At 36.7% G+C, this 26,269-nt stretch overlaps 1 protein-coding gene across 4 annotated transcripts in view, besides 1 other annotated feature; it reads right to left on the bottom strand.

Annotated features, from left to right (window-relative positions):
• KIAA1958 overlaps window positions 1-26,269 on the bottom strand; it is a 182,571-nt gene that overhangs the window by 25,557 nt on the left and 130,745 nt on the right. Inside the window, exon 3 of one of the 4 annotated variants that reach the window (NM_001287036.2) lies at window positions 25,887-25,970. The exons of 2 other annotated variants lie outside the window; for them this stretch is intronic. In NM_001287036.2, the coding sequence (NP_001273965.1) occupies window positions 25,887-25,970 (84 nt within the window). Of the gene's footprint in view, window positions 1-14,003; window positions 25,971-26,269 lie in introns of those variants that run through there. One more of the 4 variants, XM_011518311.3, reaches the window with a different exon arrangement.
• Window positions 24,711-25,293: an enhancer, noted in NCBI's record as "H3K27ac-H3K4me1 hESC enhancer chr9:115380828-115381410 (GRCh37/hg19 assembly coordinates)". NCBI's record gives its function as "activates a minimal SCP1, AML or CMV promoter by ChIP-STARR-seq in naive H9 embryonic stem cells {active_cell/tissue: H9 hESC(naive)}" and the evidence as "EXISTENCE:reporter gene assay evidence [ECO:0000049][PMID:30033119]".

Genomic DNA, 26,269 nt, shown 5'->3' with positions numbered 1-26,269 from the left:
ACTTTTACATAACCTTTCCTCACACTCACTCCACTCCCTTATTCTCTTCTTCAGTCTATGCCTCACATTTGCTTTACTATTTTTTAGGAGTGTGTTCTCATTGTGTCCAGAAGGTCTCTTCAATTGGTCTGCATGCCCCTTAGGACCATGTCTTTGTGCTTTCAATCTTGATCCTGCCCAGAACTGTTGAACATACTCTGCTTTAATAAATGTTTACAGCAAGAGAGGAAGAAAAAATGCTGGAAACTATCTGAAGCAACTGTGTCTTGTAGGTAGACTTCTCTCACCACCCCATCAACCTGGATAACTCCTATTACTTGTGGGACTTGCTTGATATTAATAAAAGGACTCTTGTATAAAATTTATTATTGTTATACGTAGCACTAATTGATGCCTACTATATGCCAAGAGGTTTTACATAAATTGTCTATAATCCATAAGCAATCCCTTTGTTATTCCTGTTTTCAAGGTAAGGAAACTCAGCCTCATACATGTAAGTAACTTCACATATTCACTCATCCAATATTTACCAAGGTACCCTCTCTGTGCCAGGCACTGGGCTGTTTAAATTATGGAGTTAATAAGTGGAAGAGCCAGGATTTGAACCCGGGTCTCTGACTCCATGCTTGAGTCACTACAGTGAAAGAATCAGGTACTATAAGGATAAAATTCTCAGTAAAGAATGCAATTTAGATACTAGCTTGTGCTTATGAAAAAATGCCTTGGTCCCCCAAATGTACTCAGATGAACCTTCAATAAGAATAACTAAGCCTGCTTTGTTTAGATGACCACTACTGTTTCAAACATGATTAATTATCACATTAAACCGCTAAATAATTTCTTAAAATTTTCTTAAAATCACAGGACAGAGAGTATACATTGAAAAAGGAAACCTAAATCCCAGTACACAGTGAAACAAATAAAGAATACTTATCTGCTTACATAATGGGACAGAAATGATGTGAAAATGATTAAATGACATATATGGTTCGTTCATGATTATATTTATGGATTAAATTTCATATACTTAATAAACTGCTTTCAAAATTTTGGAGGTAGGAGTTGTGTTATGCTGCTGAGGATATTTTTAAAAGACTATATTGGTGAAGAAACAAACAAAGGTAGTAACTTATAACTGAACACAGGAAAAAGCGGGAACTACTAAACGAAGATGTGAATGATTTTTTCTGCCAGAGGACAGGACAAACCCCGAGCTTAAGGTGAGGAGGAGCTGGGCGTGAGAGAAAGAAGGGACTATGAGATAGTGGTAGTTTAGGCTGCGGATGCCCTTACATCATCTACCACCAGCACAAGTGCTGGCAAGTACGGCTGCGTGAAGTGAGGGATATTTGCTGTGGAAGCCACCCTGAGGGGACAGAGAAAGGAAAGGGAGCACTGCCTCTGGTAACTCTGGGCAGTCCCATTGGACATGGACAAGGGAAAAAGCAAAGCAGCTAAGAAAAGCAAAGAAATCCCTGAACGCTGCCATCTCTCAAATAACACCTTCCTAGTGTCTATCACTGGGACAGTTCCAGTTTCCCAGCTTGTTGCCAGCTCAGGCACCCTGAAGGGAAGCCTATTCATGAACACTTCTTCAGCCACTTATCATAGCTGCTTGAAGTCCACTTGCAGAACCCTGTGCTCAGCCATGGCCTGCAGAAATGAGAGCTCAATCCAAGTGTTATCAGACAGGAGCCTTTAGCAATAGCTAAGGAAATCCCTATCAATTACCATTAATGATCAATCTAGACCTGAATTTTAAAATGTGAGTACATAAGCATCACTTGGCAATGGGGAAAACCAGTAGCATGACAGTCACCAAGCTACGCAAGCAGAAAAGCTAATTTCATGTTCCCTACTCGTCCCCCTGAAAGGAGACTTAATCTGGAAAACCAAAGACAAAAAATTAGACATTTCAAATATATCATTAGAGATTTGAGAGGATAACATCCTTAAAATAAGAACAGTCTTTACTGGAAAAGGAAAAACAGGAAAACAAGAAAGATCCTGGAAATTTAAGATGATTGAAAAAATATATTTTAAAAACAATAGATGAGCTGAGTACTAGAATGAACATGGCTAAAGGCAAATTAGTGATCTAGAAGGACTCTTCCCTACAGGGCAGGCAAAGACATAAGAAGTTATGAGGGTGAAGTTAAGAGATATGAAAGACAGATCCAGGAGACTGAATATCTATCCTAAGAATTCAAAGGAAAAACGTGTAAGGATGAAACAAATAATATAAGAAAAGTTCCATTAATCAAAGAAAGATTTGAAACTTTAGGATATTAAGGTTCATGAACTGTCAAATAGAAATACTGAAAGAAGACATACACGTAAACATATCTTGGTGAAATTTCCAAAGTCTAAGAACAAAGAAAAAACTCTACAATCTTTTCTGGTAGGCAGAAAAAAAAAAAAAGCCACCAAGAGGCACTAGAGCTGTCAACATAGCGAGAAGAATCAGATTTCTCATCTATAACACCAAATGGCTAAAAAAAAAAAAAAAAAAAGACATAGTCTCCTCAGAGTTGTAAGGGAAAAAGACTGTAAATGAAGAAATTTATTACCTACCTAAAGCAGCATTCAAATGCTAGGGCAAAATAAAGATATTTTCAATCATGAAAGAAGTAGCATCCAAGCACCCACCCTATCTTTAAAAAAATTAGTTACAGATATTTGCCGGCAAAATGAAAAATGGATAGAACAAAGGGGAAGATACAGGGTATAAGACATAGTGAGGAGCAAACATTTATTTTTAACATTCAGTAATGTGGCAATAAAGCTGAATACAATTGTTAAAGGACTGTATATTGTATGTAAAATATATCTCATTGAAGGTTTTTTTTTAAAGGATTGTGAAATAGATGAAGCATAATGGAATAAAATCTTGAACCAAAAATCCAACACCTGCAATCTATCTAGCAAAAGGTAGAACTGGTTAATAAAAGAAATAAAGAACAAACAAAGAAGCCATGATGTATAGAAAACTTAAATTCATGCACGTGGAGGACTTCCACTTAGGACTATGATGAAGTCGCTGGTATTATACTCTTCTTCCTGCTGAGAATCAACCTTGATAAAATTCACTGGAACACAATCAAATGAACCAGAACTCAAGAAGCAAAAATTACAGAAAGAAGGGAAATACATAGAGGTGATTCCTGCTCTGGTCACCATGTTTTTCTCTTAAGGCATTTGCAGAGCTGCAGCGCAGGACATAGAACCCAAACAGAAAGCAGCAGCCTGAAGTCTACAGCAATCTCAGTGGAACAGGTACATGAACATTCAAGTGCAGGGCTACCAAGCAGCCAGCCAGCGCTTGAGAGACCGAGATCCTGGAGGAATGAAACCACAGAAAAATGAGTCAACACTCTGCATATAATTTTCCTTCCAGAAATTGCTGATCTTAAGCCACATATGGAGAAACGATACAGAAAAGCCAAGCAGAAAGAAATCACCAAGAGGCAATTGCATGGCACTGAGGAGTCAAAAATAGTAATTCAGGTGGGGGCCTTCCAAAGAGGAGAGATGCCTTGGACAATCCAGCTTTCATTTGAAATCCAGGAAGGGCTTAACTGTAAGAGTTACAGAAACTGGAAATAGATCAGTCTAGACTGCATTAAAGTGATCCACCCACCTTACGTGCTGGCTAGCAGAACTTTAAATCTTTTCTTGAGGAAGATAACATCTTCAAAAGTTTTCATACACAGTGGTCAGCATTCAATAGCAAGTTAACAGGCACACCATAAAACAAGACCAAATGAATGAAAACTAAGAGAAAGATCAGGCAATACAAATAGGCCTACAGATAACATGGATTATTCAAGTTCTCTGACACAAAAATAATTTGAATATGTTAAAGAAAATAATGAAAAGACAGAGAATTTTACTAGAGCATTGGAATCTATTAACAAAACAGAAATTCTAGAATTCTTTCCTTTTTCTCTTCTTCCTCTTCTTCCCTTTTTTTCCTGAACTATGCACTTTTAAAGTTGTTGGTAGGGCAGGATGAGGTAGACATTTATACCACAGTATGTGTGTATTGATGGAGATGCAATGGCCTCCAGTAAGGGCATGGAGGGCATCTGCATAGGAGAATTGCCCATTGAGGTGTGTTGGAACTTCAGTAGGGTGAGAAATATCTTACACTATGGGGGCAATCTGGCAAGCAGTTACAGGGCTTGAGTCAAGAGAAAAAAGTATCCATGGAGGAGCAGCCTGGTATGTGGTGCCATAATCTAAGCAGGTTAAGAAGGGCATCCATGCAGCAGGGGGAGGCATGGGGAGAGGCCCTGTGTGAAGAGTCAGGGCCTGACTGGGGTGAGTAGGCCTTCCATGCATGGGGGTGACCTGGCATAAGGTGTCATAGCCTAAGCAGCATGAAGAAGGCTTCCATGTAGGAGGGTGTCCTAGGATGAAATGTTAAAGGTTGAATGGAGTAAGGAAGGTGTCTCTGGTTGGGAGGATGGCCCAGTGCAGGGCATTATAGGTTGAGCTGATAAGGATGGCATCTGTATGTATGTGGGTGGCAGAGCACAGTTGGGTGTTGGAGTCTGAGTGGGCAAGGAAAGTTGAAGAAAGACTGAGGAACAGGATATAACTAAATGCAATACATGATTCTGATTAGATCCTTTTCCAATAAAAGACACTGTTAGGGCAACTGGCAAAACTTCAATAGGAATAGACGTTTAGAGGGAAAGAATGCATCAGGGTTAATTTCCTAATTTTGATGATTATATTATGGTTATGCAGGAAAATGTCCTTATTTGTAGAAAAATCACAGGAAATCACTTGCAGGTGATGCTACATCAGGCTGGCAACTTAATTTCAAAATTCGTTGAGAAAAAAATGTTCTCTGTAATACACTTGCAACTTTTTGGAGTTTAAGATTGTTTCAAGCTTTAAAAATTATTAAAAAGGCAATAATGAATTGAGAATTCAATAAATGGGTAACAAGCAGGTGTAACACATAGATGATTTGTGAACTGAAAGGTCAATAGAAAACAATCAAATTGAGGCAGAGAGAGAAAAGAATATAGAAAAAATAGAAAAGAATATACAGAAAATAGCAAAATAGACACATGGGACATAGTGAAATGTCTAACATATTTGTAATTAAGAGTCTCAGAAAGAGAAGAGAGAATGGGGAAGTAGCAATATTTTAAAAATATTGGTCGAGAATTTTCCAAAATAAAATACCTCAGTCTACAGATTCCAGAAGCTTTCCTAACCAAGCAAAATAAATACAAGGAAAACTAAATGTAGGCACGTAGAATAACAATGCTGACAATCTAAGTCAAAGAGAAAATTTTCTTTTTCTTTTCTTTTTTTTTTAGAGATAGGGTCTCACTCTGTCACCCAGGCTGGATAGTCACCAATGGTGCTATCACTCATTGCAGCCTCGTGCTCCTGGGTTCAAGAGATCTTCCTGCCTCAGCTTCCTGAGTAGCTAGGACTACCTGCATGCACAACACCTGGCTAATTTTTACATTTTTTGTAGTGACAGGGGTCTCACTATGTTGCCCAGGGAGGTCTCAATTTCTGGCTTCAACCGATTTGCCTGCCTCAGCCTACCAAAATCCTGACATTATAGGTGTGATCCACTGTGCCCAGCCTTCTTTATTTTTCTTTTTCAACTTCCCACATAACACCACATTAAGAGAAAATTTTATTTTTTGTTTATTTTTTTGAGATGGAGTCTCTCGCTGTTGCCCAGGCTGGAGTGCAGTGGCACGATCTCTGCTCACTGCAAACTTTGCCTCTTGGGTTCAAGCGATTCTCCTGCCTCAGCCTCCCAAGTAGCTGGAATCACAGGCAGGCAGCACCACACCTGGCTAATTTTTGTATTTTTATTAGAGACGAGGTTTCGCCATGTTGGCCAGGCTGGTCTTGAACTTCTGACCTCAGGTGATCCACCCTCCTCGGCCTCCCAAAGTGTTGGGATTACAGGTGTGAGCCACCGCGCCTGGCCCAGCATAAGAGAAAGTTTAAAAAGAAACTGGAAAAAAAGGACAAATTACCTTATACAGCACAACATCAGACTGATTTTTCAACTGAAATGATGGAAGCCAGAAAACAGATGATATCTTTAGTATGCTAAAAGAAAATTGCTACAAGTCTAAAATTTATACTAAGCAAAGCATCCTTCAAAAATAAAGGTAAGGCCAGGTGCAGTGGCTCATGCCTGTAATCCCAGCACTTTGGGAGGCCGAGGTGGGCAGATCACGAGGTTTGGAGTTCGAGACCAGCCTGGCCAACATGGTGAACAGCCATCTCTACTAAAAATACAAAAATCTGCCGGGCGTGGTCACGGGCACCTGTAATCCCAGTTACTAAGGAGGCTGAGGCAGGAGAGTCGCTTGAAACTGGAGGAGGTTGCAGTGAGCTGAGATTGCGCCACTTCACTCCAGCCTGGGCAAAAGAGCGAAACTCCATCTAAAAAAATAAAATAAAATAAAAATAAAGGTAAAATGCAGCTGCAGTCACACAAAATAATGAGCAAATTCATTGTTAGCAGTCAAGCGCTAAAAAATAAAGACAGATGTTCAGGCAAAAGGAAAAAAGATGGCAGCAAGTTAATGAGAAAAGAATGAAGAATATTGGAAAGTGTGAATATGTAGGTGATTCTCAACGAATAAGCTGTTTAAAACAATACTAGTGACGTCTTGTGGGGTTCTAAATATATACAGAATTAACATTATAATAACACAAATAAGGGTAACTGAAGCTAGTTTTGAAAAGTTCTTGCATTGTCCAAAAAATGATGAAAACACAAAATTAAAGTAGATCTTAATAATGCAAGAGTGCACGTTTACATCTGTATGGTAACACTATAAGAATAAAATAATGTATAACTTATAAGTTAACAGAGGAGGAAAATGGGATAAAAAAGACTTGTTTAATCAAAAACAAGGCATAAAGAATAGATGGGACCAAAAAAGTGTAAGATGATAGATCTAAACATAAATATATCCATTATTATAGATATTCCAATTAAAAGATAAATGTTGTCAGGCTGGGCAAAGGAACAATATTCAGCTATATTCTCCTGGGGGAAAAATACACCTTACATATAAGAACAAATAGAACATAAAGATTCAAAGCAAAAGGTTGAAAAAAGTGATACCATAGGAACAATAAGCAAATGAAAGCTGGTATACCTATATACTAACAGACAAAACAGACTAAGACAAGAAGTATTACTAGAAATAAAGAGGGAGGTTTTAAAATTCAACAGGAAGGTATATATAACAATCCTAGATTTTTGTATGGATCTGATAACAATGCCTATAGACATATAGAAAGCAAAAATTAAAAGAATTAAAGAGAAATAGGCAAATCTATGATTAAGAGATTTTAACCCATCTTTTCCCACAACTGACAAAACAGGGAGCAAAACAACAGTATAGATATAGATGTGAACAATGCAAATATCAAACTGGACTTAATTGATACATAAAGAAGAACAACACACACAACTTCAGAATACACATTTCTTCAAGTTTGTATGTCACTTTTACCAACATAGAAATGCTGGGACATAAAGCAAGTCTCAACTTTTCAAAGGATTAAATAATTCAGAATATGATCTCTAATATAAGTAGAATAAAATGGAAATCAATTACAAGAAGATAATTTGACAAGCAATTATATATTCCTAAATAATAATAAGTATATTATTTAATATAATACAAAAATATATATGATATATGTATAGTATATATATATATAAAATAAACAATTCTTTCTGGTAAAAGAAAAAAAATCAATGAGAATTAGAAAATATTTCCAACTGAATGATAATGACAATACATATCAAAGTTGTGGGATGCAGTTATTGCCTAAACAGAAAATAATACGATTTAGTGCATAGGCTACAAAAGAAGAAAAGGTGAGTATCAACTGTACCAAGAAATTTAGAAGAACAAGAAATCTATCCAAAAAAGTAGAAGGAAGGAAACACTACAATTAAGAACATAAATCAATAAAATGGGAAAGAAATTTATAATAAAAAGTAATGTAAGAGACGGATTTGAAAAGACTAATAAACTAGCAAGAAGAAGAGAGAAGGCACAAATTATTGCACCAGAAATGAAAAACATGTTAATTATCACTATAGATCCTACAAATAGTAAAAAGACAGTAAAAAGATACTATGAACAACTTGATTATGTCAATCAATTTGAAAATTTGGATAAAATGGACAAATATCTAGAAAAGCCACAACTCACCAAAACTGGGTAAGAAAGAAAGTTTGAAAAGTCTTATACCCATTAGAGAAATGGAGGCCAGATGAGGTGGCTCACGCCTGTAATCCCAACAGTTTGGGAGGCCAAGGCAGGCGGATAACTTGAGCTGAGGAGTTTGAGACCAGTGTGGGTGACATGGCAAAACTCTGTCTCTACAAAACTTACAAAAAAATTAGGCAGGTGTGGTGGCATGCATCTCTGGTCTCAGCTACTTGGAGGCTGAGGTGAGAGGATGGCTTAAGCCTGGGAGGCAGAGGTTGTAGTGAACCGAGATTGCACCACTGCACTCCAGCCTCAGTGACAAAGCCAGACCCTGTCTCAAAACACACACACACACACACACACACACACACACACACACACACACACACACAAAATAAAGAATCTCAAAATAAAACTTCAGGTTCAGATGGGTTTCACCAGTAAATTCTTCCAACTGCCAAACTCTGCTAGTGAACAGAAAAAGAGGGAACACTCACTTCTTTTATAGGACTGCATAACTTTTATATAAAAATAAGCCAAGAATAATACAATAAAAGAAAATTATAGGCCAACTGAGCTCATAAACACAAACATCTTCAACACACTATGAGAAAACGGAATTCCTACCTCACATCATAAACAAAAAAAAATTCCAAATGGATCATGACTTAAATGTGACTGATAAAACAATAAAGGAAGGAAGGAAACACAGGAGACCAGCTTTATGACCATGGGATAATTACACACTTCTAAATAGGACATCAAAATCACTACCCCTAAAGTAAAAGATTGATCAAAATCACTACCCCAAAAGTAAAAAGTGGATAAACAGAATTCCACTAAAATGAAAAACAGACATTTATCACAATGCAGCATTAAGAGGTGAAAAGGCAAGCCACACAGTGGCAGAAGATGTTGTGGTACATTTATCTGAAAAATCATTTAGAAGGACAAACCCCCATGACACAAGTTTACCTACGTAACAAACCTGCCCATGTACCCTCGAACTTAAAAATTTTTTAAAAAGGAAAAAAATCATTTAGAAGGGAGATAGTCCAATTAAAAATGGACAAAACGGCCAGTCGCGGTGGCTCACGCCTGTAATCCCAGCACTTTGGGAGGCCAAGGCTGGCGGATCACTTGAGGTCAGGAGTTCAAGACCAGCCTGGCTAATATGGTGAAACCCCGTCTCTACTAAAAATACAAAAAAATTAGCCGGGCATGGTGGTGTGCGCCTGTAATCCCAGCTACTCGGGAGGCTGAGGCAGGAGAATCGCTTGAACCCAGGAAGTAGAGGTTGCAGGGAGCCGAGATTGCGCCACTGCACTCCAGCTTGGGCAACAAGAGCAAAACTCCATCCCAAAAAAAGGACAAAATTTGAATGGGCCTTGCATAGAAATATTAATATTCCAGGAAACATAAAATACACTCACTGAAATGTCTAAAATGGAAAACGAAATTTGCAAATATCAAGTGATAGTGAAGATATGGAGCAACAGGAACACTCTTGCTAAGTTGGTACAAGCATTGATTTGTGCAACCACTTTGGACACTAATATAGACAGTATCTACTACAGTTGAACACACACCAATTCTATGACTCAGTAATCCTACACCTAAATATATACCCAACAGAAACGTGTACATATCATGAATGTATGAATATTCATAAAAGCATAATAGTACAACAAATAATAAATGGCCTCAAACTGGAAATAACCCTAGGACCCCATAAACAATGGTATGCATATAAAATTATAAAATATTTATACAATGAATTATTATATGATAGTGACAAGGAGTGGACTACTGGAGTGAACTGTATACAAAAGCATGGAAGAATCCCACAAACATAATGTTAAGCAAAAGAAGCCAGACACGGAAGAGTATATTGAAAGGGTTCATTTATGTAATTAAAAACCAGATAAAATGACTCTATGGTGAAGTCAGTGATTACCTTAGGGAGGTAAGGGAGGGCACATGAGGGAAGCTCCTAGGGTTCGGGTAATATTCTATGTCTCCCTCCAGGTGGTGGTTACAGCAATATATTAGCGTCATAAAAATTAATCAAGCTATACTTCAGTAAGTATAATAAGTACTTCAATAAGTATTGTATAATTCAATAAGAAAACATTAAAAAATCCTTAAAAATTCCTTTAAAAATGTGTATGCAAACCTAATAAATTAAGAGTTATACCATGAACCTAGATGGGAAGACTCAATATTATAAAGATATTTAATTTCTTTAAGTAATCTTTAAGTAAATGTAATTCTAATTAAAATCCCCCCTTTTCTGTTGTTACTTGTTAGGGTGTTTCTGAAGTTTAAGAAAGTAAACATGTAAGAAAAGGAAGGCAATTTCAAATATAATTGGGAGGAGTTGCCCTAAAAAAAAAAAAAAGTATCATAACACCACTGTAATTTAAATTGTAAATTACTATTTGTAAGTTAGTATTTGTAAGAAATAGACAAATAGATCATTGCTACAGAAGAGAATCCAGAAAAGGTCTGCAAGTATGCCAAGTGAGGGTATAATAAAGACTCTAATTCAAATTGTTGGGGAAAGATGGATTCTTCAATAAATGGTATAATTGGTTGAGCTGGAAAAGCAAAAACAAAAGCAAATTTAGGTACCTGTTTCATAACACACACAAAATCCACATATCTAAATGGCTCTTTTTTTAAAAAAAAAAAAAAAGGCTGTTTCCATAAAGAAGACAGATTTTCATGATTTGGGGATTGAGGAAAGAAAGTCTTTCTCAGCACAACACAACACAGAAGGTATAAAATATAGATGATTACATGCGAAAAAATTTGGAAAATCCTGCACTGAACAAATTTCAAAAGACAATAAACATAACTGGAGAAAATACTTATAAAACATAAACCAAGGACATATGAAAAGCTCCTACAAACCAAAAGGAAAAATAACTCGCTAGCAAAAGGGCCCAGGATATGACAGGCAATTATTCACAGAACAAATACAAATAACAAAATGCATTAAAAAATAGGCATTATAATTAAAATGAGATATATTTCATTTGCCAGATTATCAAAAATACAAAAAGGTCCATATCTAAATGTTGGCCAGGCTGCTGGGAGCTTGCATTCTCAGCCAATACTGAATGATGTCTACATCAGTACAACTTTTTGGTGGGTAATTTTGACTAAATGCAGAAATACACAAGTGTGCAAAGATAAATGAACAAAGATGATCACCAAAACCCATTAGGAGATGAATAATTAAATAATTGTGCATATATATATATATATTTACATGTGGTCATTAAAAATTGTGTTACCCTTCTACATGCTAACATGAAAACAGTTCTGCAATATATTAATTTAAAAAGAAAAATTCACTCTAGGACAATATGCATAGCAAAATTCCAATTTTTATATGAAAAATAAAACGATTTATAATTATGTAGAAAAAATTTGGAAGGAGACACATCACATTGGTTAGTGATTAGCTCCATGGGACTTAAAGTTTTGCAACATGAACATATTATATTTGCAAGTTATAAAAATCAATAGGACTTTGGAAATGTATATATAAGAAAAATAAATAAAATGTTCTTTTTATTTAGCCCAGGAATTCCTCTTTTAGAAATGTATCCTAAGGATTTCATCAGAGAAGTATGCAAAAATGTATCCTCAAGGATGTTCTTTAAGCCAAAGTTATAAAAGCAAAAAACTGGAAACAAATCCAATCTAACAACAGCACTATAAAATAGATTTTGGCACATCTGTGCAATGGAAAAATGTGTAGCTACATAAAAATCTACTTTCAAAAACTAAAGATCTTTTACAAACATACAAAATGGTAACTACAGCTAGATTAGTTTTTGAAGTATATTTTTGTAAGGAAGCAGTCCAAAATCAAACATCAAAAGTTAAACGTTCTTATCTATAGGTAATGAGTCCTGTAATTTTTATTTCTGATTTGATATTACTATTTATCAATTATTAATAATAAATGTCTACTTACTGCCTTAGCATTTTTAAAGCATTATAAATCTTAACAAAGCAAATGGTGGTTTTACTTCCTTTTTTTTTTTTTTTTTTTTTTCTTTGAGAGAGGCTCTTGCTCTATTCCCCAGGCTGGAGTGCAGTGGCGTAATCACAGCTTGCTGCATTCCCTATCTCCTTTCCTGGGCTCAAACAATCCTCTTGCCTCAGCCTCTCTAGCATCTGGGACCACAGGTGCGCACCACCAGACTAGACTAATTTTAAAATTTTTGTAGAGATGGGGTCTCACTATGCTGCCTGCCTAGGCTGGTCTTGAACCCCTGGGCTCAAGTGATCCTACTGCCTTGGCCTCCCAAAGTGCCGGGACTGCAGGTATGAGCCACCACACCTGGCCTTCCATTTTTTTATTTGATGGTTCAGTCTAAACATGTTTGCCATCAAATTCAGTGTTTGCTTTTAAAATTATCTTTTGAGATGATATATCACCAACATTAAGAGTTTTATACATATTAGCCATTTTAGTCACATCAAATCCTCTTCAAAAAGATATGAATAAATTGAAAATAAATAAGACTTTTAAAAAGGAAAACATTATTTGATTTGTAGTTACTACTCAACTTGAATTCTAATATTCTTTCCCTAGCAAGGAAATAAAATTTGTCACATTTTAAGTGTAAAACTTGCAAGCACACTTAAAGATGAGTTCCTCGTTTAAATACTATGAAAATATAAAGGTGTAACTACCTGTAATTTTATATAATCTATCATCATACAAAAATACGGTCATTGTTTCTATTTGGAATATTCAACTGTGAGTAAAGACTGGTGGACTATTCAGCCATGAAAGAAAAACATTTGCATTTCTGCAAAGTAATTTTGTATGAGAGATGTTGTATTTTCAGATGTTTTAACATGTTTTTTCATTATTAAATGATTTTAGTGACACAAAAAATGTGTCTGAAGTTAACCAACTTAATAATTTTGGAGAACCATTCCTATTCGGCTCAAAGAACACTGTAATATGTGCTAAAGGTAATAAATGGTACATGGAGAATTATATCTGACTAAAATGATTCTCTTAAAAATAAGTTAATTTTAGAACACGGTATCTCCTTAGCTTGGTATAATTTAAAAAATTTTTAAATTATTTTTTAAAATAGAAAGTCTCCCTTTGTTGTCCAGGCTGGTCTCAAAACTCCCAGCTTCAAGCGATCCTCCTGCCTTGGCCTTCCAAAGTGCTGGAATTACAGGCATTTGCCACTGTGCCCGGCCGCAGCTTAGTATAATTTTGCACCTATTTAAGAAGTGTCTGACAAGGGGATTACTGGAGGTAAAGAAAAATGGCCAACAGAGCTCCACACAAAAACAAGTGAGTTAATTGTTTGCAGCAGGGCTTTCTTTTCTATTAACAGGATTTTCAGGCTTGGGGCTCCAGGAAGCCTACGATTAATTCAACTGTAGATCCTTTACTAAAGGATTGTTGCTACCCTATGATCTGTGTTGGCACAGTCACATGCGCAATGCTTCCCCTTCCAGGGCTTCCCCCCAACTTCAGTGGTGAGAAACACTGCACATGGGCTGCTTGGCTCATCTGCATTGACTGTATATCCTGAGGCCAGTGCACAATGTCCAGGTCAACAACATGTTTTTCAAAACGTGGTTTAACTTGTTTGTTGTAGCTACAAAAATCAGCCAGCTTTGCAGAAGACAATTCATTAAATGAATGAAGACTGGTCATCATGCCCAAATACAGACAAAACACTGTGACTCAAGCATGCTCTCATTATAGAGACACTGTTGACACTCATTAGCTGACTTTATTGGATTGCTTTTCTTATTTCCATAAGTTTTAGGCTGTACCAACAAACATCAAAAACAATAGAAAATTACACTACATCAGAGGCAAACATTATACACACAATGGAATAAACTAGACATAAAACTAGATTTTTATTTAGAGCACAAGTACACAGACAAATATGAAGCAAAAACAGTGAGTCGACAAAGATGAGAACATCTTAGTGTAAAAAATCAGTGAGCAGCAAAATAAAGATGAGAGTACTCTTAACAAAAAATTCTGTTATTACAAATATTGACAGGCAGCAGATTATCTGACCAAAAGCATCAGTCACATATTTGACACAGTAACAGTAATTTCCCTCTGTTGCAATTCACCTTTCTCCTCTTTCACAAACTATAACTGTAGCAGCTTTTAAAAAGTTGTAAAATATGATTTGAGTGAAACAGGCACACGTGCGTTTTTCATGTTAATCAGTTAGAAGCCAAGTGGCCAGAAAAAATATATAAAAATAACTATCTATCAAATTTGGGGAAAAGTAAATGCATCCTCAAAGAACACTACTATAGTTTTTAAAATAGCAGAGTTAATCTGTTGAAACAATTTTCTCTAAGTATTAATTGTGGTTATTGTATTTCCAAGCAGATGCCTGGCCTTAAATTATAGTGACTAAATTGATAAATCTTTTTATTCCCAATTAACTTCCAAGGGATAGAGTAAAAGTGAAAGAAAGCTTAAACACAGTCTTAAGATTTATAAGAAGGATGGAAGACCTTGTTGAATACAGCATTCATTCTATTAAACCATGGAAGTTCTTCATTTTAATAGATAAGTCATACATAGTCAATCTGTTGAATCTAAAACACTTTCAATCATCTTCCCACCAGGTTTCAGGCCTACGGGGTTAGAGTTACATTTTCAGGCTACAACATAAAAGGTACAAACTATTACTGACCATGGCATTAACCTAGCAAATCTACTGCTAACTTTGGCAGTGAAAACATTTAAAATTGTGGGAGAAATTGGAAACTCTATAAATTAGAAACCTAATAAATATATATATATTTTTTTGATTTAAAAACTGCCTGAGGCAAAAAGTCCTCAGGACAGAAATACAAAATGTACGTAAGACCCAAAGGTGGGAAATAAATCCAAGAGCAGGACTCAAATAAATGTGCCCACTGCTAAATTGTTAATCATCAGGATATATCATGCCATAATCTTTGGTGTCCAAAATATAAAAGGAATTCTTGGTACAAAGGCTCTGCCTGAAAACCTCTGATGTAGGAATCAAGAAATAATTTTGTGTGACTCTGGAGGCCAATGGACAGAGGTAGAACTTCTTTAGACCACACATAATTAAATTTATTTTTATTGCTTTATCACCTCACGGAGGGGCAAATGTCTACAGCATATTCTAGAGAAGAGGCTCACAGTTAAAATCTGCCTTTGTTTTCCTTTAAGCAAAGAGGTGGTGGGGACCTTGACGAATTAGTTTTGATAGTCTTAGAATTAAATCAGTAATTTCATCAGCAATGTGTCCAAATACAGCATTGGCTGTTGCTGCATATGTGACAGTCACACAACAAGTTTCTATAAAGTTCAGGAGATTACCCCTTTATTAAAAGAATCTTGTAATTACAAGCCCATTGAACTGACAGAAGGAAACCCTGCATCAAGTGTGGAGATCTGGCATGTTGGTGTAAAAAGGCTCTTCAGGAAGCAGCCTTCTTTTCTTAACACTTTATGACAGCTTCCCCCCACTCATTTTAAGAGTATAAATAAAAGTATAGTGGTATTCCTCCCATATTAAATTTTAACAATGTGTAGTAGAGTCAATATGTTGAAACGATTTTCTCTTTACTTTCAGTTTGTTTGGAATTGCTGAGGCAAGATGGAAACACCAGGTACCAAACTAGACAGGTGGGCATGAAAAAATCCTGATGGCCATAAGGCAACCAAGTATGTTAAGTAAGTCTGTGTACATGCTGAATGTAAAAGTTAACAAGTGGGAACTGTGAGGTTTCAATGGTTCTTAATAAAGGAAATAAAATTACTGAATATTCTTTTTTTCTTTTTAGGGGGGTTGGAGCCTTGCTCCCTCACCCAGGCTGGAGTGCAGTAGTGTGATCTCAGATCACTACAACCTCCACCTCCCAGGCTCAAGCAATGCTCCTGCCTCAGCCTCCCAAGTAGCTGGGATTACAGGTGTGAGCCACCACACCCAGCTAATTTTTGTATTTTTAGTAGAGACTGGGCTTCGTCATGTTGGCCAGGCTGGCCTCGAACTCCTGATCTCAGGTGATCCGCCCGCCTCAGTCTCCCAAAGTGCTGGGAATGCAGGTGTGAGTCACCACCTCCAGCCTGAATATTGTTATTAAATGAAATTCAAACAATAAGCCATGATAGCCAACAAAAATAATGTATGCACCTCATAGTCCTCTGCTATTACACTGTTCAGCCTAAAAATATCCAGATCAAGGGAAATTCTACCGCTAGTCATTTGATTGGATTTTTCTGTAAGATACTCAAACATCAAAAGAAAAAAATATTTAAAATTCTAGAGGAGAGAGTATTAGAAAAGTTCAGAATTCTTGCTTTCTTTCTCTTTTTGCAAATGTTTTTTGCTTTCAAAGAGCTCGGAAAGTGTTGAAGAAAAGCTGACCTGGCCTGGAATTATAAACATGACACAAGATTTTCAAGTTTGGCACCACTTTGACAACTACAATATTTCCTTCTGTAGAGGCCACTAAGTGCTGGCTCAAAATATTAAACAATGAAGTACACAGTTACTTAAGTCACACATAGAAATGTTGACTGGCACAGCCTTTTAACACAGTTTTTCAGTTTAACTACAATAAGTGATAGCAGCAGTGGTTAACAATTCCACATCAACACCACAAACACACATATGAAAGAGCACCTGTAACAACATGCAAAATCTCAACATCACTGAATATTACACAATGCATAGAAATCGTAATGATTTTTGGCAAGGTGTTTTTTTTTTTTTGTAACAAATGCTTTATAAAACAAAAGTTATTTCATTATAAATGCTGTTTAAAAAGTTGTAACAATCTAATGGGTTATAGATATAAAAGTTCAGTTAGATAAAGTTAATCTGAGTGGGTTAATACTAAACATGGACCTCCTACTTCATCCAATATAAATAAACAATTATAAATTAATTTCTAGTGGAAGTACACTAAGGGATTTATAAAAGAATTACAGAAAATAAATGGACATAAAAATCACTAAAACACAGTATACACAATTACTGTTAGGAATCTATATTGCTGATATCTTCCTAATTCTACTTATCACAAACAAACAATGCCAAAGCATTTTCAAAGCTCTTATTGAAATGAATGTATAAATGGTAAAAATGCTGTCTAATTCCAGTGTAATATCAAGACAAACATTAGAAGTCTAACATAATTCAACATTACAAAAAAAAGACAAATCACACTGTACCTTTTTAAAAAACATCTAAAATTTGAACTTTTTCAACTATGATCTGGTAAATATGATTTGTAAAATAAAAATTTGTGAAACGTTTAAATATTTATGCTTGAGTTCCTTTTCAGAAGAGTAAGCAAGATGAGAAATACAAATAATTTGCATTTAAGTAAGTTTGAATTTCTACATCTACTTACTGTAGGCCTCTTTCCTTAGTTACCATTTTTCCCCTTTACTATCTCTAAATAAATTTACTTCAGAAACTTCCTAATTATGTTGATAGAAATTTGATCCTTTTGACTGAGGATATGTCCCAAAACTTTAAATACGATTTGTAAAACTTGCCAGACTAAAAAATACTGTGGGTTGCATTCAGAACCAGTAGTATAGATGCTATGTAGCTCGATATCCAAGTGAATATCAAATTAAACAAAAATGTATTTTTGTTCATAATCTATAACTAGAATTGATATTCTTGAAGACTGTAGTTTCCCCTCCATAACTGAAAACTAAATATAAATTGGGTAGGCTGAGAGATGTTTGTTAGAATCAAAGAACAATTACATTTACAGATTTTCCTATCAAACTCCAAAAAGAAAAGTTGCTAAAACTAAGATGTAACACAACACAATGAAAAGTGAAATGTCACATTCAAGAACAGCCTATTGGAACTTGGCAGCTTGAATCTACTCCTAAGAGAAATTTGTGGGTTTTAAAAACAATTAAAATTTGGAAAACAAGAAGTAGAAATATAGGGTTGTTTTTCCTCTCTAAACTCTACCTGTGGACAGGAAGTCAGGGTGCCTGCCTCTAGTCCCGGCTTTAACCCTGACAAGGGAAAGCTCACACCCTAACAGGGTGTGAGCACCTGGGCATTCACCTCCTTTCTCTGGGGCTATTGCCTCTTTTGTTAAAGGGTGGATGAGGACAGAGCAGTGGCTCATGCCTGTAATTCTAGCACTTTGGGAGGCTGAGGTGGGGGGATCACTTGAGTCCAGGAGTTTGAGACCAGCCTGGGCAACACAGTGAGATCCCATGTCTACAAAAAATTTTTAAAAATTAGTCAGGCAGGATGGTATGAACCGGGAGTCCCAGCTACTTGGGAGGTTGAGTTGGGAGGATTGCTTGAGCCCAGGAGTTCAAGGCTGCAGTGCCACTGCAGTGAGTCTTGATTGTGCCACTGCACTCCAGCCTGGACAACAGAGCGAGACCCTGTCTCGAAAAACAAATAAATACATTAAAAGGTAGATTAAATGTTTCCAATTTTATTTTCCAGCTAGCACACCTGAAGGATGCATTCCAGAGGGAACAGCAGCTCAGTCAGTCTAGTGAGTCTCAAAGGAGGGGAGGGGGTAGGAAACATGAGACCTCTGGGGAATTTGTTTGAGGTTGTGTTCTCTTGGCTATTTCTATCTTCTTGCGCTCCCCACTCCCTACCTACATGAGGACGTGGTGACTCCTACTCTTCACAGCATTGAAAATCACTGGGCTAGATGATCTCTTGGGTCCTTTCCAGATCTAGCCTCTATGACTAATAATACAACAAAGACAATGGTTTACATTAACACACAGACCTAATTAATATTCTAATCAAACTGGGACTCTGACCTAATTAATACTCTGGTTCTAATTCACAAAAGTCATTGTTTACATAAGAACTCAACGTAAGTGTATTAAAATGCCATTAAAAAAAATTTTTCAAGCTTTTGCTCAGCTTTGGCAGGCCCAACTGGTCAATTTACAAACAGGCTGGACCATGAGGAATTTTAAATGTCTTCCTTTTCTGTTTAGAAAAGTAAAATTAGAGTTCTTGGTACTCCATCAATATCATCTCTTCTTTTCTGTTGTTATATCACTAGAAATACACCAACTCCCAAAAGAATGATATCTGCAATGTATTTCTTTATTCCAGTTCTATTTGATGGCAAGGATCTCTAAAATTATCCTAGCTTCATCACTTTGCTTTATGAAAGGCTATGCACTCAATATCATGTTAACCAGATCCAAGTGGGAAGGGAAAGCAATGTTTGAATACCATGCACTAAACAACGATTGAGGATGCCCTTGCCAATGTGCATTTCTTAATTGATCACTGCCTATCTGTACCATATTGTATGGTAGATGTACAGAGACATATCTTGTATAATAGAATTCTATTTGGGAAACATTTATTAAGCTGATAGAGAACTTGCTAATTCTTTCAGTACTTGTAACTATTTTTTAATGAACGCTTTAAAAGATATCTTGCTCCAAGAAATTATACATTCCCCTTGACTTTCCTCCCTAGGCTTAGGTATCTATTTCTTCTGTCATCTGGGAGAGAGTTTTTATTTACAGGTGCTTAGTATTACAGCTTTATTTTGGCTAGAGAAATAAGGATCAAAATATACCTTTCCTATAGATAAAGAAAATCAGTCAGAAGAGGGCTGATTAAGATCAGAAGTGTCTGTCTCACATTAAACTGCAGATAGTCGAACCAGAAAAAATCTGAATAGGTTCACAGTCTACCTCTAATTCATATTTAGTATCTGGTCAATGGCAATCGATACTGGCTTATAGGCAGTCCCTCTGCCTAGACCCTCCCACTTCCCTGCCTGAATTATAAAGGACTCTCTTGAAATTGGGGTTTTGGCTTTAATTGGGGTAAAAATAAATTATACACATATACACACTTGCCTCCATGACAAAGTTAGGTGTTTTTTAGAGTGACACAAACTTCTGCTCTCTGCTGGTAACCAGGGATAAACAAACTGCTTAATATCTCATCTCAAAATACTACAGTAATGACGCCTAAATAATGTTGTGCTAACATTGATCTCAATCAATGAGTTGAATTAATTTGATGATTTTAGTACACCTGGGATTTCATTTATAATTTATAACTTCAGAGGGTCTACAGAAGCACAGCAAATCACTTCTTGAACAAGTAGCTACAGCAGAAAAAGAGAGTGCTTAATGGGATCTGGATCTAATTTCAGATACGGATGCTCTTACATATTAACTGTGACATGGGCAAGCCATTTGACTTTTCTGGATTTCCTCAATTATAAAAGGGAAATAATAATACTTACCTAATGGGACTATTGTGAGAATTAAGTGAAACAACTTATAAAGCACTCAGTACAATGGCACATTGTCAGTGCTCAAGAGGTGATAGTCATTGATGACAGATCTGTACACTCTGATGCATATGTGCACCTACATGAACACAGTGGATGGTACAGAAATGCCTTCACTTTATTGATTTTAAAACAGGCTCTAAGAAAGATTCTCCAGAAAATACTCAAAGCAGAATTACGTATTCCACAGCAGACCAACATATTCAATGAATAAATAATGGATAAATTGCATGGGTACAAAGTTTGGAAAACTATGCAAAATAGTATTAGCATAGAGTTTTTTGCTGGGCTCTCAAAAATGAACTAACTTTTATTACAATGTCTTTTATAAATTCTTTGAGAGCAGGGACTATTTCATGTGTCTTTATACCCCTCCAGGTTTGGCCCCTAGCTGTTCAATAAATACTGTTGATGTGACTACAAATTCTCATCTCAATAAAGTCATTGATTTCATGGCATCTGCAAGCTAAGCCATATGATTTAGTCAAGTAAATGCTATGAAAGTTTCAGCTAATAATAATCTAACTGAAAAACCAAAGAGATCAAATGTATGCCAGAAGATTTTCAGACTACTCTTTTGTAGAACAGGCAGTGATTTAACATAGGGAAAATTTAACCATAGGGAAAAATAATTATAAATATCCTAAATTGCTGATATATATTTATAAGTCATATTCAGACCAGCCCTAATAACCATGATATCAAATGGAATCTAGAATAAGCTGTCTTGAATAAATATCCTATCTCTTAACTTTTTCAAACATTATAGTTTTTTTAAAAATAGCTAGCATCTATGGTTTTCAAGAGTCACTCACATGAATATGGTAGAAAGACCAAATTATGCAGCTATGTCATCCAAATGCTGACAGTGTTCAGTGTTTTTGTTGTAGACAGTGCAAAACTTTCAGTCATGTGAGGAACACTGGAGGGTTTCTTACATGACATTACATTGATCTTAAAGTGTAAGCACTGCAAATATGGCTTTATTTGAGCCACAGGATTGCCTGAAAAGGCAGCGCATTCAGTTGTAGTGAACATCTCCTGGACTGTTGATTTTTTGCTAAAGTATATATGCAATTTTGACATCTGCCTCTGCCACAGCATGAACATGATTTTTTCTTAAGTTAATATTCCAAATAATAAAAATGGCATCTGGCAGTGCTATCTTCTCAGTATCATTTAGATAAAAATAAAATTTAGAGGTAGTTGTAGATTTTTCATAATGTAAGTAACTCCAAGAGATAACGCCAGCACTTTGGGAGGCCAAGGCAGGAGGATCTCTTGAGGCTAGGAGTTCGAGACCAGCCTGGGCAACACAGTGAGACCCCATCTCTACAAAAAATTAGCCAAGTGTGATGGTGTGCACTTGTAGTTCCAGCTATTTGGGAGGCTGAGGTGGGAGGATCTCTTGAGCCCTGGAGTTTGAGGTTGACAGTGAGCTATGACTGCACCTCTGCACTCCAGCCTGGGTGACAGAGCAAGACCCTGTCTCTGTTCAAACAAACAAACAAACAAAGACTGATACTGTAATTTGGCTAGGCTTCTACCAAGCCATCATTCAGAAAACAGTTTTCTGAAACTAAAAGTCACAATGCTCCTATTTGGCTTGAGTTATCACAGAAAAATATAAATAAATAAAAATAATTCACATTCCCAATTTGTGTTTTTCTAAATGAAGATGCAATATGATTAAGCAGGACAAAGATTTTCATTTTAGTACCTTAATAAACACAGATAGGGAACTGACATTTTCTAGTTCTGCTTTCACAGTGCATACTGACTACTCTTCTTCCTTAAGACAAACTTACTGTGCTGTCAGAAACATATCAAAAATTTAGAAACTACGTCAATTAAAAATTAAATGCACCATAACATTTTAAGTGTTTTACAGAGACCTTTTTTTAAACATTAGAGTTTAAGAGTTCCCTTAAAGTAGGCTGTCTGATGCCGTAAGGACTAACTATAGAATAAGGCGAACAGGAAGGTTTTGTAAAGAGAACTGGGAGAAAGAGGCTCTGTGGCTCCAAATGTATGGGTGTGGGAGAGGACTAGAGGACATGCTGCCACCATGGAAGATTACTCAGCATTCCTTTTGATCAGACATCCTTCAGAGATGTTAAGACACTGTGTCCCCAGCTCTGGATCAAACCACTGGAAATTAATGATGAGCTGGTACTGAGAAACTTAAATAGAAAAAAACTCTGGAATGAAATGACAGACTACCATTTCTTTAGCTATGACCTAATTGACTTATCTTGACCTGACCATAAAATAAAGATAACTCACCTTTTCAAAGTTGCTGAAAATATTAATATATATAGAAATAAATATGTAAGTACTGCAATATGTCTGAAGAAATATTTGCCAAAATGTTAACAGTAGTTATCTTTGGCTAGAAGACTTACGAGTACGTATTTTGTTTTCTTTATCCTTATCTGTGTTTTCCTATTTTTTTTTTCTTTTTTTTTAAGATTAGTAACTATGACTTACATATGTGATCCATGTAAGTCACTTAGCACAGTGCTGGCATGCATGCTGGCTCAAAAATGGCAGCTCTCATCACTATCAATACAAAAACATAAAGCAAGACATTCTCTGCCCTTTCTTCTTGTTTCTGGATGTATAAATGAATATTTCTCTATGGAGGAAAAGTCATGAACATGAGGTTAACTCCACGACACAAAGTCCATGGCTGACTTCCCACTCCTTAGCCAGATGAAAGGTCACAGCTTAGAGGAACGGGTCTTTATGTGCTTATGACTTGGTGTTGGAAGGAGTTCCCTGACCATGGGAGAGCTCAGCTCTGTGATGATTTAGCAAAGCAATTCAGAATGAAATTTGTCCTGGTTATACACTAAATTAATGTACAAAATACCACCTACCTTTCTAGCTAATGTGAATTATGAGGTTGCCTTGAAGAACAAATATTTCCCAATAGAATTCACGGGTCCAACAAAACAATCAAGATTTGGAGTTTCTGTGTGTTGCTGATTATACAGAATAGGAACCTAGCTCAGCTTTATTGTGGCTCTAAAGTCTAAATTTATTTTATTTTTGAAATATCTTAACTAATAATTCACCACAGGCATCAAGACTTGAAAACAAAGACCTTGGAAAAACTGCCACAAATGTTTAACCAAAATTATTATAATAATTGCAGGATATCACAGATAAACGCATTTATATTTACTATAGAAAAATCTCGCACATTTTCAAGAATGCTTTGAATTCAGCAAAATCTGGTAACAAAATATTGTTACCTAAAATGAGTGCCAATATTCCTTGGATCTCAATCACAGAGTCGAATACACACCCTTGCCTCAGGAGAAAAGAGACTGTTTAATGCTTCTAAGTAAATAATTCAGGGAATATGAACTTTGAAGAGGATGAGTTTTTTTGTTGTCTCGACTACTGCTTCTAGATTTTTAGTAAGACTTTCCACCTTTTACCTTCTTTATAGGCAATCTAATGCTTGGCAACATTTTCAAAGCTTTGGTAGCTTTAAATTTCCTGTCAAACTTCATTTATACCCATTTCTTAGGGACAAAAAAAGAAACATTCTTTCCAGGTTCAAGCACAATAGTTAAAATGAGCTATGTAACAGTCTTTTTAGCCAAAATATTAGACTTTGGGTATTATTTTAAAATCATGTATCTCCCAAAAAGAATGGCACCTTTATTCCCTCCTTCTACCCTTTCCCCCCAAAAAGAAAAGATGTTAGCTAAACATCTAGATTCTCATACATTGTAAAAAATGAGGCACAGGAGCTAAAACTCTAATTAAGTTAAAAAAGAGAAGATGTAAATAATTTGATGTTGAGCTTATACATTTTCATATTGTGGATCTAGCTGAATACAGTTTTGCGTCAGCAGTAAAGTTAATGTCTCCTCTTGATTAATATAGAATTTTAAAAATTAAAAAAATAAAGCCATTTATTAAGGAGACAAAAAAGGGGAGTTGGGGTGGGAACGAAAAGCAGGAGTTGAGGACGCAAGCATGTTAAGTCTAGGATGACTCTCAATTTCCTTTTTGACAGTTTTTAAAAAACAGAATTCCCTCTCTACTTTGTGTTGCCTGAGAACCACGTATGGTTTTGTAAAGTCTGTAACAGTAATTACATTTGATCGCCCACAAGTACATTTGTCTTAAGCCTATAAATACTATGTTAGTAATACTAAATTATCTCCATTGGCTTATTTGTAAAAAGAAAAATATATTATATATTTATATTTTTATAAAGTGAATTAACACTGAGGGCACAGGAAGGGGAACGAGAAGCGGTGTATAATCACAGTTTCTCCGGACACAGTAACCAAACTGGAGTCTTGCTCAAGCCACCTGGTCAAGCGGTGTCTGAGGAAGAGTCATAGGAGGCGGAGACGATGAAATTGCCATTGTTGGAGTGGCCGGCCACTGACTGGGCAGCCTGCTGGCTCAGATTGTTACAGATCAGCACGAGCTGGTTGCTCTGGGCCTCAGACAAGGTGCTGCAGCTCTGATACACACTGAAGTTGGTTTTCCTGCCAGGGATGTTGCCCTTCTCACACATGGTCTTCACCATCTTGGCCAGCTTGTTCTTGCCAAGGGCCTGGCAGTTGTACCAATGCAGAGCCGCCAGGTTCACGACTGGCTTGATGGATAAGTAGAAAGGGGCATCCTCGTAGCGCATGGCGGGAGGCCGCCGCTGGGCATACTCCTTATAGTCCTGGACAGGGCAGGTCTGTGGGGCGTGCTGGGTGGCATACACACGGGAGTCTGTCCCCCCTCTCTTGGTTTTGGCATTCAAGTCTCCAGTGTCCTGACCCATCCACTCCAAGTACTCGAGACCCGTCTCTGTTACCCGGAGCCGGATATCACCCCATTTTAAGGTAGATCCATGGAAGCCTGTGCAATGCCCAAAAGCTTTTGTGTTGTTGAGCCAGACTAGGTTGAGCAAACCCTCGGGGTTATATCGGCTTAGCAGTCCCCTTTTCCGCAGGATGAGCTCGTCAGCAAAGGTGAGCTTCATGGACTTGTGTGGCTTATTTCCTTTTCCTTTACAGCGGAGTTCAATTTGCTTCTGCTTCAGGGCCTCTTGGGAACGCTTGAATTCCTTATCCCTGGTGATGCTATAGCCATACCTGTGTTCTTTCAGGTACCTTTCGAGCCCACACTGGTAATTGGCCAAGCTGTTGGGTTCGTATTCGGACCCATCCTTCTGCCTGGCATCAACAAAGAAAGAGGCAAGGTAGGCATCCAACTCCTTGCAAGGGATGACATAAATCTCTCTTGTTTCAGAAGGATACTTGGAGATGAGGAACTCACGGAAATTGCGGAGCGCGGTCTGCGTGCTCCGGATGGTTTTCTCGTTCTGCTCCCTGCTGAGCTCAGCTGCTCTTTCATCCTGGTCTGCAACAAATTGGGGGGGGAGGGATAGAGAGGGTGTTGATGAGTTCAGACAATGCACTTTCTACTCTGAAATAAAGTTTCCTTTTATAATGACAAGGGAAAGGAGGAATCAGTTTTACGGAGATCACTGATAAATGTTATTTACATACCTGTCACATTATAATAGCCAACTTCAGTTTCACAAAAGATCTACTAGACAAGCATATGGCCCATTACAAGCAAAACGAGCTTCCTATGTCACGGGCACATAGTTTAGTGCATGAAGGTTTGTCGAAAGAGAGAGATTAGAGACAGCCTTC

Source organism: Homo sapiens, chromosome 9 (genome assembly GCF_000001405.40).
Source record: "Homo sapiens chromosome 9, GRCh38.p14 Primary Assembly".
Taxonomy (NCBI): domain Eukaryota; kingdom Metazoa; phylum Chordata; class Mammalia; order Primates; family Hominidae; genus Homo; species Homo sapiens.
The sequence above is the reverse complement of the archived record's forward strand: the minus strand, read 5'-3'. Positions and strand labels throughout refer to the sequence as shown.